Genomic DNA, 18,733 nt, shown 5'->3' on the forward strand with positions numbered 1-18,733 from the left:
GTGACTAGATTTATCCTCCCATAAGAAACAATCTAAAAACATACAAATACATAAAACAATGGCTTTCAAAACACTGGACATCAGGCCACAAGGAACAGGCAATGAAGGTTTGCATTGGAGATATGCGAAACAAAGACAGGGAGCCCTGTGGTTGCCATAGCTTACTGCCTTGGGAAGGTTTCCAGGGCTCAGTCCAACACAAGTAACCCAGGTGGAGCCCAGTGAACTCTCTGAGTCAGGAGATGGAGTTGGGGTTCCAGGAAGACCAAGGAAGTTAGAATTCACAGGACAGCATACCAGAGAAAAAAAGAGCTACATAAAGAGAGCTAAATAGAGAGATCTGCAAAGAATCCCACTTGAGTATCCAGCTAAGTAAGGATGAACGCATGCATATGAGAAAGACATGGCTGCTTTTGTACTACAACATCTGAGTGAGTAGTTATAATGGAGACCCTGTGGTCCTCAAGCCAAAAATTTACTACCTTGTACTTTTCAGAGAAAAGGTGCCAACCTGATCAACATCATACTTAAAGGTAAAAGACTGAATGCTTTCCTTATAAGATCAGCAATGAGACAAGGATGTCTCCTCTTACTGCTAATATTCAACATTATTATGAAGGTTGCATCCAGTGCATTAAGGCAATGAAAAGAAAGAAAACGTATGCAGACTGGAAAAGAAGAAGTAAAACTGTCTTTATTTACAAACAACATGACATTTTATGTAGAAAACCTCATGGAATCTGCCAAAAAGCTATTAGAACTGATCAATCAGTTTAATAAGCCTTTAGGATATGAGATCATTATATAAAACTCAACTATATTTCTGGATACTATAAATGAACAATCAGAAGTTGAAATTTAAAAATACCATCTATAGTCATATAAAAAATCTGAAATGCTAATAAATCTAACAAGAGATTGTCAAGACCTGTATAATGAAAACTACAAAACATCGCTGAAACTAAACAACATCTAAAATAATGTTGAGATACACCTATGTTTATAGGTCAGAAGACGTGATATTGTTAAGATATTATCTCCTCAAATCTATCTATGATTCAGTACAATCCAGCTATAACAACTGACAAACTGATTCTAAAATTCATATGGAAATGCCAAAGGCCTAAAATAGCCAAATCAATTTTTAAAAAGAACAAAGGGGAACTAAAACAATCTGATATGAAGTCTTATTATAAAGCTAAAGTAAAGAAGGCAGATTGGTATTAGCATCAAGATAGACAAATAGGTCAATGGAGCAGAATAGAGGGTCTTGAAACATACACACATGAATAGAAAACTAATTTTTAACAGAGGTAAAATAGCAATTCAATGGAGAAAGATAATCTTTTCAACAAATGAGGCTGAAACTACCGGATTTCCATGTGTAAATTTCCATATTGAGTTTCAAACCATACTTGCCACCACATAAAAAAATCAACTCAAAATGAATCATAGACCTAAATGGAAATCCTAAAACTATAAAAGTTCCAAAAGAAAATGTAGGAGAAAATCTCTGTGACACTACATTAGTGTGCAATGTCTGCCATAGAAAAGTATCACAAACCAGGTCACTATAAAATCAGAAATTTATTGTCTTACAATTATGGAGGCTAGAAGTCCAAAATCAAGGTGTCAGCAAGGTTAGTTCCTTCTGAGGGCAGTGAAGGAAGGACGTGTTCCAGGCCTCTCTCCTTGGCTTGGAGATGGCTCTCTTTTCCCTGGGTCTTCACATCAGTCTTCCCTCTGCACTTGTGTCTAAATTCCTCCTTTTTATAAGGACACCAGTCATATTGGATTAGAGCCCATCATAATGACTTCATTTTAATTTGGTTACCTCTGTAAAGACTCCATCTTCAAATAAGGTTACATTCTGCAGAACAAGGGGTTAGGATGCCAACATCTTTTTTAGGTGGACACAATTAACCCATAACAGACATCAAAAGCACAATCCATACAAAAAAAGAAACTAATAAGCTGGACTTTATTAAAATTAAGAATGTTATACTCTTCAAAAGACAGGGTTAAGAAAATAAGAAACAAGCCACAGACCACAAGAAAATATTTTCAAATCACAAATCTGATAAAGGACTTGTATCTGAAATATACAAAGACTTAAAATTCAGTTTTAAATAAATTAACAATTTTTTTTTTTTTTGAGAAGAAGTCTCGCTCTGTTGCCCAGGCTGGAGTGCAGTGGTGCAATCTCAGTTCACTGCAAGTTCCACCTCCCGGGTTCACGCCATTCTCCTGCCTCAGCCTCCCAAGTAGCTGGGACTACAGGTGCCCACCACTATGCCTGGCTAATTTTTTGTATTTTTAGTAGAGACAGGGTTTTGCCGTGTTAGCCAGGATGGTCTCGATCTCCTGACCTCGTGATCCACCCACCTCAGCCTCCCAAAGTGCTGGGATTACAGGCATGAGCCACCACACCCAGCCAAATTAACAAATTTTAAATGAGCAAAGGATTTAAACAGATATTTGACCAAAGAAGATAAAAAGGTAATAAGTAAGCACATGGAAATACCCTCAACATCATTAGATGTTGCAGAAATACAATTATTAAGTCACAATGAGAAACTTTTCTCTATTAGAATGGCTAAAATTAAAAAGGCTGATTGTGCCAAGTGTTGACAAGGATATGGAGCGACTAGAACTCTCATATCCTGCTGATGGGAATGTAAAATGGTACAACTTTGGAAAAAAGTTTGACAGTTTCTTAAACCATTAAACATGCAGCTACTATATGATGTAGCCATTCCACTTTTAGGTATCTCTTCTAGAGAAGAGAAAGCCTATATCCATACAAAATCTTGCATATGAATGTTCTTAGCAACTATATTCATAACAGCCCCAAACTGAAAACAACCCAAATGCCAGCCAACAGTGAATAAATTAGAATATTGTGATATATAAGCCATATAATGAACTAGTATTCCACAATATAAGGAATGAACCATTGATATATGCAACAACATGGATGACTGTCAAAGTAGTCAAACTAAGTGAAAGAAGTAAGCTGCAAAAGAGCACACTATATGAATGTTAATTTCACATAACTATAAAGAAATACCTGAGGCTAGGTAATTCCTAAAGAAAAGAGGTTTAGCTGGCTCATGGTTCTGCAGGCTGTACAGGAAGCATGACACCAACACTGGCTTGGCCTCTAGTGAGGGCCTCTAGTGAGGAAGTTTACAATCATGGCAGAAGGTGAAGGAAGAAGTCATTGTATCACGTGGTGGCAAGAGTGGGAGCCAGAGTCAGGGGTGGAGATACCAGACTGTTTTAAACAACCCAATCATATGTGAACTCACTGAGTGAGAACTCACTCATCACCAAGTGGATGTAGGAACTAGGCCATTCATGAGGGATCCACCCTCATGACCCAACCACCTCCCACCAGGCCCCACCTCCAACACTAGGGATTACATTTCAACATGAGATTTGGAAGGGACAAACATCCAAACCCATATCAGAATCTGTGTATGTAAAATTCTAGAAAATGCAAAATAATTGACAGTGCTGGAAAGCAGATAATTCGTTGCCTGGGGATAGGCATATGGGGGAGAGGGAGGCATTAAAAAGGGTCATGAGGAAAATTTTGGAAGTGATGGATATGATCTTTATCCTGAATATAGTGATTGCTTTGGTGTATGCATATGTCAAAACTTATTATACACTTTAAATATGTGCTATTTATTGTATATGTAATCAATAAAGCTGATTTTAAAATATGCATTCCACAGTCAAATGACCTACTATTTCAAGTCCTGGCTCTACCTCTAACTTTGTTATCTTAAGCAAGTTATCTTTGAGCCTCTCATTTTCCAGCTGTAAAATGATCATTCATAACATACATTTCACAGGATTATTGTGGATATCAACTGATAACTAATTCAATCCCTGAAAATAAAAGATAATCAACTGTAGCTATTAATCATAACAACAATAAAGTCCCTTGTTCTTAGTTTCTAATGTCCTGTAAAAGCAAATTTGAAAGCCAAGATGTACAACTCATATTTTTAGAACCTGAAAAGCTGAGTCTTCCCCACTTTCTCATTCAGTGTTTCAGATAGTGTTAATATACACGAGCTCTGATAAGGTAAAGAGTGCACTGGAAGAAACTCAAAAGTAAGTTTTTTAATTATCTAAAATCAAATTTTCAAATATGAGTCATGATCTCCCCTACTAGAAACACAAACAGTTTAGACAATAATGAAGTACCAGCAAAATAACACTCCTTATGCACGTGTGTTTGAAATGCTTGTTCCCTGGTGCCATAAAGAAATAGTACTTGAACATAAATTTTCTCAGCAAGGCCATTTTTACTTTCTGCAGAAAGGTACACTTGCCAGCAGTTTTGCCACAAGAATACACTGAAGAAAGGAGACAGGGTTATTTATAACTTGACACATCCACCCTACTGCTGTGTCTGGTTTCCATTGGCTGGAATGGGACCTCACATTCTGTATTTGTCCTGATTGGCTAGCAACTTAGAACTTTTTAAAAGAGGCAAAGGCAGAGGAGAATAAAGGAAGGACGAAGTAACTTGTGGAATGCTGAGAAAGGTAAAAACATCTCCAAATAAGGAAAGGAACAGGCTATGACCTAATGCTTGCTTGGACTGGTATAAGCACGCCAGGGCAAATATTTTGGCTAAATTGTGGGAGCTAAGGACACAAAGTACATTGATTTATTTATTGTGGCTAGCAGATACCTAAGAATGTTAGCACAGGTCTTTGAATACATTTTGCTTCTAAGAGAAGTTATTATTTATTCTTAATTAGATGGGAGGAAAGTCTCTTTGAAGAGGAACCTCTACTTTACTTTTTACATGTGGGCCTTCCTCAACTGCAGTTGGTAAAACTGCATTTCCAGTTTTAAAAAATACACACACCTCTCAAAAGAATTTCAACTTAAAGCTCTTTTACATATGTGCTGCTTAGCTTAGACCCTCAAGAAAGAAGACAAAGAAAGCCCTAATGAGTTATCCCTGTCCCATAGACCACGTGGGTGGCCCTGTGGGGTTATGCAAAGAGACTGGTCGGGATAGCACCTTCACAATATGTAGCTGAAAGACCAGACCCAGAAAAAAGTGCAATGCACTGCAATAATTGGTAAACAGGCAAGACACACAAGTATTTTCCTGAGACTCTGGAAAACGAAATAAGGAAAACTCACATGCCAAAGGTATTAAATGTCAAGTCAGTAAGAAGATAGTCTGAAAACATTTAAAAGCTATAACGTCAAAAAAAAAAATTCTGGTACAATGTGATTCAAAAGATCACCCTATCACAGCAGTAGTTTCTGAAAAAGTAACATTGTTTTAACGCCCACAAATCTAGTTTGTGTAGAAGCATACACTCTCAAGAACTTTTATTTACTGTGTCTTGAAGAAATATATGTCTTTTTTTTTATTTATTTTAAGTTCTGGGATACATGTGCAGAACATGCAGGTTTGTTACACAGGTATACATGTGCCATGGTGGTTTGCCGCACCTATCAACCTGTCATCTAGGTTTTCAGCCCCGCATGCATTAGGGGCTCTCCCTCCCCTTGCCCTCCACCTTCCGACAGGCCCCAGTATGTGTTGTTCCCCTCCCTGTGTCCATGTGTTCTCATTGTTCAACTCCCACTTATGAGTGAGAACATGCAGTGTTTGGTTTTCTGTTCCTGTGTCAGTTGGCTGAGAATGATGGCTTCCAGTTTCATCCATGTCTTTTTAACGCTAATTGGATAATGTGTGATTTTTCTAACCAATGGTGCTACAAAAGTCCCTATGATCTCATACACATTAAGTCATTTGTATGTGATATGGTTAGGCTTTGTGCCCCCACCCAAATCTCATCTTGATTTATAATCCCATTATCCCCATAATCTTCACGTGTCAAGGGAGAGACCAGGTGGAGGTAATTGAATCATGGGGGCAGTTTCCCCCATGCTGTTCTCATGTTCTCAGTTCTCACAAGATCTGATGGTTTCACAAAGGGCTCTTCCCACTTTGTTTGGCACTTCTCCTTCCTGCTGCCCTGCCTTCCTGCCTTGCCCTCCTTCCTGCCTTACTTCCCTGTCACCTTCCACCATGATTGTAAGTTTCCTGAAGCCTCTCCAGTCATGCTGAACTGTCAGTCAATTAAACCTCTTCCCTTTATAAATTACCCAGTCTCAGGAAGTTCTTTACAGCAGTATGAAAATGGACTAATATATCATGTATTCATGCTAGGAGCAAATTCAAATGAGTTTAAAAAAAAAAAACCACAGGGAGGAAAATATTGCTGAAAACCATACAACTGGGAGGAGACACTAATTCTCCACCCCAGGTGGCCTCACTACTGACATTGTTAACGCCAAATGGTTAAGCTGATGCTTTATTTCCCTGTCAGTTAAGGGACTACAAGTAATCAATGTTTAAGATAAAACATGCAGCGGAAATAAAAAGGACAATTTATATGATTCCTCATATTTCTGCCTGCCCCCCACCCCACCCACCACCAACGTCTAGCTCATGGAAGACAAGAGCTAGAAACAATTTTTTGACCTTTGATTTTCAAACACAAAGATGCCATAAAGAAAAAGATGTATATTTTTTGCTGATAAATTTTGCCACTTGGAAATTTAAATCTTCTATACATCAAAAAATTCCCAAAAATTTTAAAGAAAAATGACAAACTAGAGGAAAACACCAAAAAAAAGATACATGGTTAATATTTTAGTATACAAGGAGCTTTTTCATGGAAATATGGGTAAAAATATGAATAGGTAATTCACACAAGAAAGATTATAATAATCATTGATACATGTTCAATCTCACTGAGAATCAATGAGATTCACACTAAAGTGATAAGAGGCAGGACTAGACTCCAGAGGCAGGGCTCAGACACTGGACCAAATTGAGGACTAGCTAAAATAGGGACAAGGCGGAAACGGCTTTCCATAAGACACCCATCAGTATGCCATGTCAGTTTACTATTGTTATGGCAACACCCAGAAGTTACCACCCTTTCTCTAGGAATTTCTGCAGACTGCTCCTTAATTTGTATATAGTTAAAGGTGGGAATAAATATGACTACAGAACTGTCCTGAGCTGCTACTTCTCAGCATACTCCCTATGGGGTAGCCCTGCTCTGCAGGAGAAGTCACGGAGCCATAACACTGCTGGACCTATAACACTGCCAGACCTATAACACTGCCGCTTTAATAAAGCTGTTTTCTTTATTAGAGAAGGAAAGAATTCAAAGGCTCACCCTTGAATTTTTTCCTTGGCAAAGCCAAGAACCTTCCCAGCTAAGCCCCAGTGGGAGCTTGCCTACCCTGAATCAGTATCAGAGTAACCTATCAATTATAAAACATTAATTGTAAATAAGTAGAAACTTCCTAGAGAACAATTTTTCAAAATGCATTAAAAACTTTAAATGTTTTTCCATACTCTTTACATTTCTTCTAGAGGAATTTTTTCTTATCTTAAAGAAAACAATGGAAAGAATATAAATAGAAGTATGTGCAAAGATACATACATCAGAACATTGTTTATAAATGAAAAACTCAGAAGCAACCTGACTGCCCAATAACAGTGGAATGGTTAAATCAGTAATGGTGCAGACATGAGGTAGAATATTATGTAGCCATTAAGAATAATGCTTTAGATATAGAAGGAAGGAAAGTTAGTAATGATACATCAATAAAGTGAATAAAATCAAGAATGTATATGTAGTCTAATCCCATTATTATAACATTTTTTGTACAGAACAAAGTTTGGAAAGCTATACATGAAAATTTTGACAATACTTCTCTGGATAACAGAATTTGGGCTGTTTTAAAATTTTCCTCCTCCTATAAACAAGACACAGTCAGGCACAGCATGATGTCTAAAAACAGAGATTCTATAGTCAGGTTGCCTGAGTTCGAAGCCTGCGTCCAACATTTACTACCTGTATGACCTTTGCCAAGTTAATCTTTCCATGCCTCTTCATCCTTAAGAGAAAAATGAGGATAATAGCAGTACTTATTTCATAGTTACTGGGAATGCTAAATGGAGATCTTCTAGAATGGTGCCTAACACCTAACTGAGACTCAATAAAGCTAATCATTATTTGTTAACCTGTGTTACTCATATGGCAAACAATAATTATGAGAATAATTATGACAAAAATGCCTTGACATTGACAAGAGTGCCAAGATAATTCAATGAGAAAATAATGGTCTTTTCAAGAAATGGTACTGGCTGGGACAAGCGAACATCTGTACACAAAAGAATGAAGCTGGATCACAACTTTACATCATATGCAAAAATAAACTCAAAATGGATCATAGATCTAAATGTAAGAGTTAAAACTATAAAACTCTTAGAAGAAAGCATAAGAATAAATCTACATGACCTTAGATTAGGCATTAGTTTCTTAGATATGACACCAAAAGCACAAGCCACAAAAGAAAAACTTGATAAACGGGTCTATATCAAAATTAAAACATTTTGTGCTTTAAATGATACCATCAAGAAAGTAAAAAGAAAAAGCACACAGAATGGGAGATAACATTTGCAATCCCTATATTTAATGAGGGACTAGTATCTAGAATACATAAAGAACTCCTAAAAATTATTAAAACGACAAACAACCCAAATAAAAAATGAATAAAGGATCTGAATAGACATTCCTTCAAGGAAAATACACAAATGGTTAATAAGCATGTGAAAAGATGCTCAACATCATTACCCCTGAAGGAAATACAAATCAAAACCACAATGAGACCAGGCATGGTAGCTCACACCTGTAATCCCAGCACTTTGGGAGGCTGAGGATGGTGGATTGCTTGAGTCCAAGAGTTTGAAACCAGCCTGGGCAACATGGTGAAACCCTGTCTCTACAAAAAATAAGAAAAATTAGCTGGGTATGGTGGTGCATGCCTGTGGTCCCTGCTACTTGGGAGGCTGAGGTAGGAGGATTGCTTGAGCCCGGGAAGTGGAGGTTGCAGTAAACCAAGATTCCACCACTGCATTCCAGATTCCACCCTGGGTGACAAAGTGAGACCCTGTCTAAAAAAAAAAGAAAAACACAATGAGATACAACTTCACATCATCTAGGATGGCAATAATCCAAAAACAGATAATAACAAGCGTTGGTGATTATGCTGAGAAATTGGAACCCTCATACACTATTGATGGGAATGTAATATGTATGGTGCAGCTGCTTTGAAAAATGACTTGGCAGCACCTCAAAATGTTAAACAGAGTTACCACATGACCCAGTAATTTCACACTTAAGGATATACTCAAGAGAAATGAAAACTAAAAACATACGTCTACCCAAAAACTTACATAAGAATGTTCACAGCAACATTATTCATAATAACCAAAATATGGAAACAACCACAATGTCCATCAATTGATAAATGGGTAAAGTCTGGCAAACTCACAGAATGGAATATTATTTGGTGGTAAAAAGGAGTAAAGAACTGATATGTACTACAACATGGATGAATCTTGAAATCTTTCTAAGTGAAAGAAGCCAAACGCAAAAGATCAGAAATTGTATTGTCCCATTTATATGAAATGTCCAGAATAGGTGAATCTACACAGACAGACAGTAGATTAGTGGTTGTGTAGAGTTATGGGAGAGTAGGAGGGGAAAATAGGGAATGAGTACTAATAAGTACAGGATTTCTCTTTTGAGTGATAAAAATATTTTAAACTTAAACTTTGAGAATGGTTGCACAATTCTGAATATATGAAACACTGAACTGTATGCTTTAAATGGGTGACTTTTATAGTATTGAATTGTATCTCATTAAGATGCTTAAAAAATGTTTTTCTAATCCCTTGACAACTCTGAGCTTTATTTCCTAAGAATGCCCTTTGAAGAGCCAGCAGTTTATAGTGGTAGTAGAACAACAGCTTGAAAAGATCTCCTACTGTACCATGGAGGATACAGTCATGTTGCTATATTCACACCCCCACCCCATGCCCTGACTGATACATTAACTCCTTATTCAGTACCTATGATAAACCAGGCATAGTGCTAGGTAAGGGGCCCAAAGGTAATCAAACCCTAGTCAAGTTTATCCTTGAGTAGAGGGGCACCACAAGACACATTATGTTGTTTTAAAAAAAAAAAAAAAAAAAAAGCAAACATGACAAAGTCCAAGGTCCCTGGAAGCACAAGGCTGCGTGGTAAGAGAAACATCCTGGAAGCAGCAATGTGTAAGTAAAGAACTAAAACATGATTAGAGTTAGTGAGAAAATGTGCTGAAAGAAGGAATCAATTGTGTTCTGGGCAGAAGGAATGTGCAAGGGACTGGAGGTGCACATATTGTTTGAGAAGTTAAAACACATACAATATGGTTGGTGCACACAGTGTTCACTGTGGTGAGGAAAGGCAAGTGAGTTTCCTTATAAAGGCCAGGCATACCATGCTAGCGAGCTCAGACTTTAGTTTGAAAACAATGCAGAACCATTAAACTGAAAAATTACCTGATAACATTCATGTTTTAGAAAGATTATTCTGGCTTCAGTACAGCTACATATGACTTGAAGGAAATACAAATGGAAGCAAATACCTAAATTAAGAGGCCACTGGGAAAGAAATGATAGTTTGAACCATGCTATTAATGGTGTGGGTGTAGGGAGGCAGCTAGATTCAAGAACTATTTTACATGTTGAACGGACACAACTTTGTGATTGACTGTATATAGGATAGGGAAACAAGGGGAGGGAAGGGTGACTCCCGGGTTTGTGGCATTAGCAACTGGATGATGGTGCCCTTCACTGAAGTAGGGAACATACAAGAGCAGCAAACCTGGAATAAAAAGTTTTAAATACATTCCATTTGGATTTACTAAATTGAAGTGTCTATGAAACTTCTAAGGGTGGATATATAGGTCTGAAGTTCAGGGAAAAGAGCAAGCTGGAGGATGTAGCTTTGAGAATTAAGAGTCTGCAGAGATGAGATGAAGCTCTGAGGGTAGCTGAGGTGTCAGAGAAGGGAATAAAGAGGAACAGGGCAGACCCTATGGAACATGGGAAACTCAGGCCATGGAGAGCCCATGCCGGGATCCCTCAGGCTCTCAAGTGGTCTCTCTTCTACCTTCAGTGGTCAGCTTGGTGGGCCCCAGGATAAACACTGAAGAAAGTGGTTTTTCATTCTTGGCCTCAGGACATCCTAACCCTTTTGTGCACCTTCAATAAGCATTTGTTCCAAGAATATTGAGGAAAGGCTATATGTCAAGGACTTTCCTGGGCACTGGGATATGAAGAAGTCAACAAATCCCCTGCCCTAAAAAACTCTGGTTGGTCAAGGGACCAAAAATAGACATATAGAAATTCTTCATATTTTTTCTCCTTTTTGGTGAGAAAAAAAAATTTTTTTAAGGGAAATTAATTTTATAAATTCTAAATTTATTTTTTTCTGAAATAATAAGCACACAAAGCGACACAAGGACCTGAAAAATACCAAAGTTTCATAATGTTCTTTCAAAGTTGGCCACTTAAACCAAATTTCATACATAAGAAACACAGCTACTTGACAATCAAAACAGAAAGAAAACACAGATACTTATTTTTAGGGAGTAAAAACATTTAGTGTAAAATTGCAGTTACATTTTTCTGAAAAGCACACTAGAGCCTCAAATCCTGGTAAGTTGCACAATGAGATAAACTGTATTCAAACAAGGCCCAAAAGAGTTCAGTCAGTGTCAAAAAAATTTTACACAAATCTAAATTTTACTCTGGGGAGCAAATCAAAATCTTCCCAACAACATGAGGATCATATAGTATTTGTTTTCATTGTGATTGCCAGGAACATGAAATTCAAAGCCATGTTTTGCATTGCAGAAATTTCTAGACCCTCAGTCTGGTAACACTCTTTTGACCTGTGACATAGTTGGGGCAGCCATATTTCTCTGCTGCCAGATGCTTTGCTACAGAAACAAACAAGACACAGGAGAGAAATGCCACAGTGCTAGCATATGAGGTAGCTACATAAGTGACTTTTAGAAAGAGCTCCCCAGGTCACTCGTCTGTCTCCTTTCTAATTTGAGTGTGATCCAGCCGTACTGGGGCCATCCATAGAACTGGTTTGCCCCTCCTGATAGTGGTTCTATCCCCAGTGAAGCTGGCCACTAAAGACTGCCGAGCTCCTGTGATCTCTGAGCCCTTTCTGCCTGGATTTTCCCACATCCATAGTTGCAGATGCCTTGATGTTTCCCAAAGATTTTGTTGTGTGGAAATGAACTCTTGCAGACTCTACATTTATTCCCTAAAATCCAGGGCATTGAACTTCTGACAGCTTTGTAAACTTTTATCTACAAACCCCACTTCACTGACCCCTCTCTAAACAAATTACACTTAGTGGATGTTCCTAGCTTTGAGTATGTTCTTTCCACAATAACTTTCTGAGAAGAGAGAAAGGTAGAGAAGAGTTAGAGGATGGCATTCTTGTTTATCATTTATCAAACTCCTCAGTCATAGAACAATTTACAAAATTAGATACCCACACAGGAAGTAAAAACAAACGAAATACTTATTCTGTAGTTCCACTTGCCTTTTAAAATAGTTTTTTTATAATTCAGAGCTGTATTCCTTGGCTGAAGAATTTTGTGTACCAATAAAAATTATTTCAATACATTATTTGAATTCCAGTCACATCTCCCTCTAGCATTTTCAGTTTATATCATCAGCTGACATCTAGTTGATGTCTATCCACAGGTAGACAATAATTTTCCTTGGAACACAATAATTTTCCTTAGGTTCACAGAATCCTGGATCTGAAACTGAAGTGAGTCCTATTGCCATTTAGGAACTCTACATTTACATGCTCCTCTCTCAAGAAAAAAAATAGTTGCCTTTCACTTAAAATTTCTCTAAAATTTTTGTAAAATTCCTCTAAAAGAGGAATATCCAATACCTTCTGTCTTAGGATGTTCTTAGTATCTCAATCTAACAATCAGGAATTTTTTTTAATTCCTCATGTTTAACTTAAGTACATAATTAGGTTGCCTTAGGAACCTACAATGGCTCTTAATTCTTTCTACTCAAAGCCCCTATTACAGTGTTTGGTATATAGTAGGTGTTCAGCATATATTTAATGAGAGAAAAAAATGAACAGAGGGAGGAAAGGAAGAAAGTGAGAGGAAGGAAAAAAGAAAAGAAGGGAGGGAAGGAGAGAACAAATAAACACTAAAAGGAATCAAACATGAATCCACTACTAAGGAAATTAACAACAGAGTAGCAAGAATGTTAAATGGACATAAATAACTACAATATAAAGTAGAAAGTATTAAAGGGCCACAGACACAATGTTGGAGGAAATCCGAAGAGAGGTATGAAATTTCTAGCTAGGAGAAATCAGAAGCAAGTCAACAGAGGAGGTAAGACTTGAGGTGGGATTTGAAGAACAGGTAGATTTCAGACAAGTGATCAGAGGGGATAAGTGTCCCAAGGAGAAGTCATGAATGTGGAAAATCATGGGGTGATGGGGAATGAAGTGGTTTAAGGGGAGCACAGAAGGTGGTATCGGGCCCCTTTAGTATCTAGGCTTATAAGCAGAAATATTAATAATTATTCAGAATATCATTTGAATGAATGAATAAATGAACAAACAAATGAATAAACAAACAAATTAACTTAGGCCTGGAACTTTAAAGATAAAGCAGAATATGAATGTTGTTTCTATAATTATTCCTATTGCAAATTACACCTCTATCTCTGAAAAGGACCTCCTGGGAAAGCCTTCTGCCATCAAATTAGATCTACTTGAAAAAAAAAATTAACGACAGAATTTTAATTATTTCACAGTGTTTGCATGTCACTTTATTTTAATCCCAGGGATATGGGAAATCAATATAAAATAGTTTGTTACTTTCCTATTACCAACACAATAATCCATCCAGTGTAATTTTGCTTTCTTTACCTTCTATTTCTTTTTTTTTTTTTTAACATTTAAAAGCAAACCGGAAGAGGCTTTGCTCCCACTCTTCCTCTTTCCTATTTGCTCCCAACGATTTAATGCACATACACAAGACTGGCCAACCAATTTGTCAGTGAAGTACTCTCCTGCTGGCTTTTATGGCTGAGTTATTGCCTTTAAAGAACTAAGAAATAGGACATACTGCTACACAACTGGTCCTGGCAGAAACGTTAACTCTAGAATAAGACGGATAGAACAAAATCAGTATAAAAGCCAGTGGGATTAGTGAAGGCTTTAACATACAGCTTGCAATGGTTGAAATCTCTTATGACCCATGATGTTGGTTAAAGATCATACTTGCTGAAAAACAACCTTAGCCACTGTTACTAAGTTCTAATTGGGTTTTCTCTCTATAGCTGTCAAACTCCCTCTACAATCTGATGACTTTTTTTCATACTTAAGCGCAAATGAATTTTAAGACATACATCACGAGAACTTAATCTCTTTTTAACACAGGAACTTGTACACAAATGTTCATAGCAGCCTTATTAACAGCCTCAAATTGGAAACTCCCCAAACATCCTTCAGGGCATGAATCGTAAGACAAAATTTTGGCACATCCGTACCGTGGATGACTATTTAGCATTAAAAAGGATCAGAATACTGGTATCTACAGTTTATGCTGCGTGAGAAAAAAAAAAGCCAGTCTTTAAAGAATACATGCCATATGATTCCATTTAAAAAACATCTGTGAAATTACAAAATTATAGAGATAAAGAACAGAGTAACAGTTGTCAAGGCTTAGGGATGGAGGAGAGGGGATGGGTGTGGCCATAAAATAGAAGTGTTACCATGATGGCACAGTAGAGAGGCTGTTGATTGTGGAGGTAATTACACAGGGCTACACATGTGACAAAATTGTCACAAATGCAAATGATGTGTGCACAACTGGGGAAATCTGAAAAAGCTCTATGGATAATATCAATGTTAATTCCTTGGTTTTGAGATTGTACCATAATCAAGTAAGATGTGAACCCTGAGGGAGCTGGAAGGTGAATACATGGCATTTCCCCATACATTTCTTTGTGAGCCTCTATGCATCTATCATTATTTCAAAATAAAAACTTTAAAATATATGTAGTCAATTTATATCAGGATGTGTCATGAGGTTTCTCTCTCCTGAGTTGAACAATATCTAACATAAAGCTGAGTGATAGTAAGGTCCAAAATAAACACTGTCCAAAGAAAAGAAGGGAGGAAACAGGGAGGAAGGTGTATAACCATCCCTGGTCAATCTAAAATTGATGAAAACCTGATTTGGGGGGAAATTTATAAAATGTCTGAAGTTTTCAATATACCTTTTTACAATAAGGACATTAAAATCAACATTATAAGGCAATTGTGAAAATTAAAGGTATATACAGATATGTAGATTTCTCAATATACATATGTGTGTGTGTGTGTGTGTGTATGTATAAGAGAGCTCATTTTAGTAAGAGCCTGGGACTCAAGAAGTATTCATTCTCTTCCAATAAGCAAAAAAAAAAGAAAAAAGAAAAATAAAATCATCATTATATTCTTAATTCCTCACTCTCTTACTCTTTCTTATTGCATAACCTCACATCTTGGTGAAATTATTTTCTCCTCCTTCAACAACTAAGAGAGAGCAAAGATTAAACACAAAATCAGAGCTCTTTTCATCTAGGCCCATCTGCCTAGGTAGGCCTAAGTTGAATCACTGAACCACTGACACACAGTTCTGTGAGCTCTCGGAAGCTCAGAATCCCACATACAGTTTGGCCACAGGGCTGAAATGTTGTAGCATTTTATCAACAACCATGTTTTGAACAATTTAACACCCAAGCTCTCTCATTCCTGTCTCCTTCCCAAGGCAACTGCAGATTCCTCTTCCCTCAGGGAATATAACCCCACTACCTTTCCTCATTTTAGGGAACTGTAATGACCTGGACAGATGGTAAAAGAACACTGGAAAAGTGATGTCTTCAAGTACCAGCCCAATGAGGGTATCTACTCGGGGGGCTTAAAATGGAACACTCAAGCACGCCAATGACCAGCAAAGCAGGAAATGGTCCCAGAATCACTGACAGAAGAGGCAAATTTCCCAGAATACAATCCCTTCATGCCGACCCCCAGGGTCAAAGCACACAGAGCAGAATCTGGGCCACAAGCTTGGAATCATCCTCATGTAGAGTTATCCTCTTTTCAGAAGATGCTTCCCCATCTCAAACTGGGCTTTTATGGCTGAGTAAAATTTACCTTGTGTATATAATTTACATTAATTTGTTTGGCAGGCTCCAAAAAGGCAGTACAAGCGAGAGGTCCAACAGAGAGGTCAGACACAAGTAACAGCTTGAAACCCAAGGCCAGGGTCCAGATGGGTGTAGAGACGAGCTGGAGTGGGAGTTGAGGGTAGGGGGATTAGCAGAAACCAGTGGGGCATGCAGACTATAATTAGGAGCATGTATGTATTTGGGGCTTGAAGACATTGCTAAACAGCTGAAGGACACTGCTCAGGAACATGAGAAGCTGATCCCAGCAAGGCTGGTTGACGTTTCCAAGACTGGACAGAAAACCTGAGGAGGCTGGGAGGAGTGGGCAGTGCCAGAAAAAGTGAGAGCAGCAGCTCTGAGCAAGCAAGTCCTACCAGCATCATAAATGAGACGAAGAGCTAGGTTTGCCATGGTCAGGATTTTGCCACAGCAGGGAGAGGATGTTAAGATCAGTTACTGGCTGGCTCAAACTGACATGCCCATAATTACTTACTGAGCGTCCATGTCATGAATGGAGTGCTCTATCTGTACATACAGCCAGAGGTCATACAGTGAAGATAGTGTCCCTGCTCCACTTCTCTGTTCACAGGGGAGCATCTTCTCTCTTTGATCATAAGGAAGAGGAGCAGAGCACCTACCTAGCTGTGCCTTTTCAGGCCAACCACGTGCTGGCAGCGTCTGTTCCTTGTAAGACCTTCCCAGGAATCTGCTCTGCTAATGAGGCCCCTCTACCTGACAGCTGGTTACACAAGCTGCTATCAGAAAACAAAAGCTGCCTGTTGAGGTAACCAATATTTCCACACCTCACACACAAGCGTGTGCATGCACACACATACACACATACACACACACGCGTGCACTCTCCCCAGTAAAATTCAGAAACCATGCTCGGAATGAATCAACCACCAAATGGAACAAAGGCTGCCTCCAAGATAATTAGAGTTTGGACTGAACTGAATTTTTTCTGGCTTAGACTCAGCATTCCCACTTCTTTGGTTGCCAGCCCCACAGCCTACACAATAGGCACATGGGGCAAAGCTGGCTGCAGCTTATAGTTTTAGATGAAATGCTGGTAATCCATCCTCTGGTCTGCCATCTTCTCTTATCCCTCAGTAGCAACCACAGAAGACATTCACTGTCGATCTCAGAACATCAAGAACATACCTCGGTCCATTCTGCTGAGACAAGAGAATTCCAACTGAACCACTGATTTGGCCATATTAAGACAGTCTTCACCATTGCACACCTATTACAACGGCCAAAATACAAAACCCTGGCAACACCAAATGCTGTAGAGGATGTGGAGCAATAGGAACTCTCCCTCATTGCTGGTAGGAATGCAAAATGGTACAGCCACTTTAAAAGACAGTTTGGCAGATTCCTTCAAAACTAAACACACTCTTAACATCAGATCTGGGAATCATATATTCCTTGGAATTTACTCAGATAAAATGAAAACTCAGGTCCACAAAAAATGGCAGCTTTATTCATAATTGCCAAAACTTGGAAGCAACCAAGATGTCCTTTTATAGGTGAATGGTTAAACAAACTGTGGTACATCTAGACAGTGGAAAATAATCCAGCACTAAAAATTAAAAAAAAGAGAACATCAAGCTATGAAAAGACATAGAGAAAACATGAATACATATTGCTGAGTGGAAGAACCAAATCTGAAAAGGCTATATGCTGTATGATTCCAACTATATGACATTCTGGAAAGTATAACACTATGGAGACAGTAAAAGGATTAGTAATTGCCAGGGGTTTGGAGGAGGAAAAGTTGAATAGGCAGAGCACAGAGAGTTTTCAGGGCAGTGAAATTGCTTTGTATAACACAACGATAATAGATACATTTCATTATAAATTTTTCCAAACCTGTAGAATGTACATGACCCAAAGTGAATCATAATACATACTCTGAACTTCGGGCGAGAATGATCTGTCAATGTAGGTTCATTGATTGTAACAAATGCTCCACCCTGGTGGGCGATGCTGACAGTGGGGGAAGCTGCACATGTGGGGATGGGGGTTATTATGGAAAAATATCTGTACCTTCCTCTCACTTTTGCTGTAAACCTAAAACTGCTCTACAAAATAAAGCCTATTGATTAAAACAAAAATCTTCAGAGACTGACAAAAGTCAAATCAAAAATATGTTGACATGCAAACTTAATGGTGTATTGTGTGGGTTTCTGTTTGTTTGTGCTTATATGTGTGTTTAAATAGATACCAAGTTATAGCATTCTAGAAGAATGCTAAATTTACCAACATGGAAAAACATAAGATTCCAAATTCACCACAAATGGAATGCCACTGCTTCAATTTTCTTTGCAAAGGCAGAAAAAAAAAAAACTATCAAAAATGGTAAAAAAAAAAAAAAAAAAAAAAAAAAAAAAAAAAAAAAGACTAATGGGAAGAAATTTTTATCAATCAAAAATCACCACTCTGATCCTCTACCAAGATGAGCCTGACTGTTATGAGCTGCGTTACAAATGACTGCAAAAAAAAAAACTTTTAAAAAAATCTGCTGTCTATTAGGCTAATCTA

The 18,733-nt window shown here is 37.9% G+C and overlaps 1 protein-coding gene across 27 annotated transcripts in view; it reads right to left on the reverse strand.

Annotated features, from left to right (window-relative positions):
* The window catches only part of PDE1C (phosphodiesterase 1C), an 811,448-nt gene that overhangs the window by 392,279 nt on the left and 400,436 nt on the right, over positions 1-18,733 (reverse strand). Inside the window, exon 1 of one of the 27 annotated variants that reach the window (XM_047420445.1) lies at positions 1-18,551. This exon is cut by the window's left edge and continues 29,770 nt beyond it. The gene's annotated coding sequence lies outside the window, so the exon portion shown is untranslated. 27 annotated transcript variants of the gene reach the window in all.

The sequence above is a fragment of the Homo sapiens genome, chromosome 7 (genome assembly GCF_000001405.40).
Source record: "Homo sapiens chromosome 7, GRCh38.p14 Primary Assembly".
Lineage (NCBI taxonomy): Eukaryota > Metazoa > Chordata > Mammalia > Primates > Hominidae > Homo > Homo sapiens.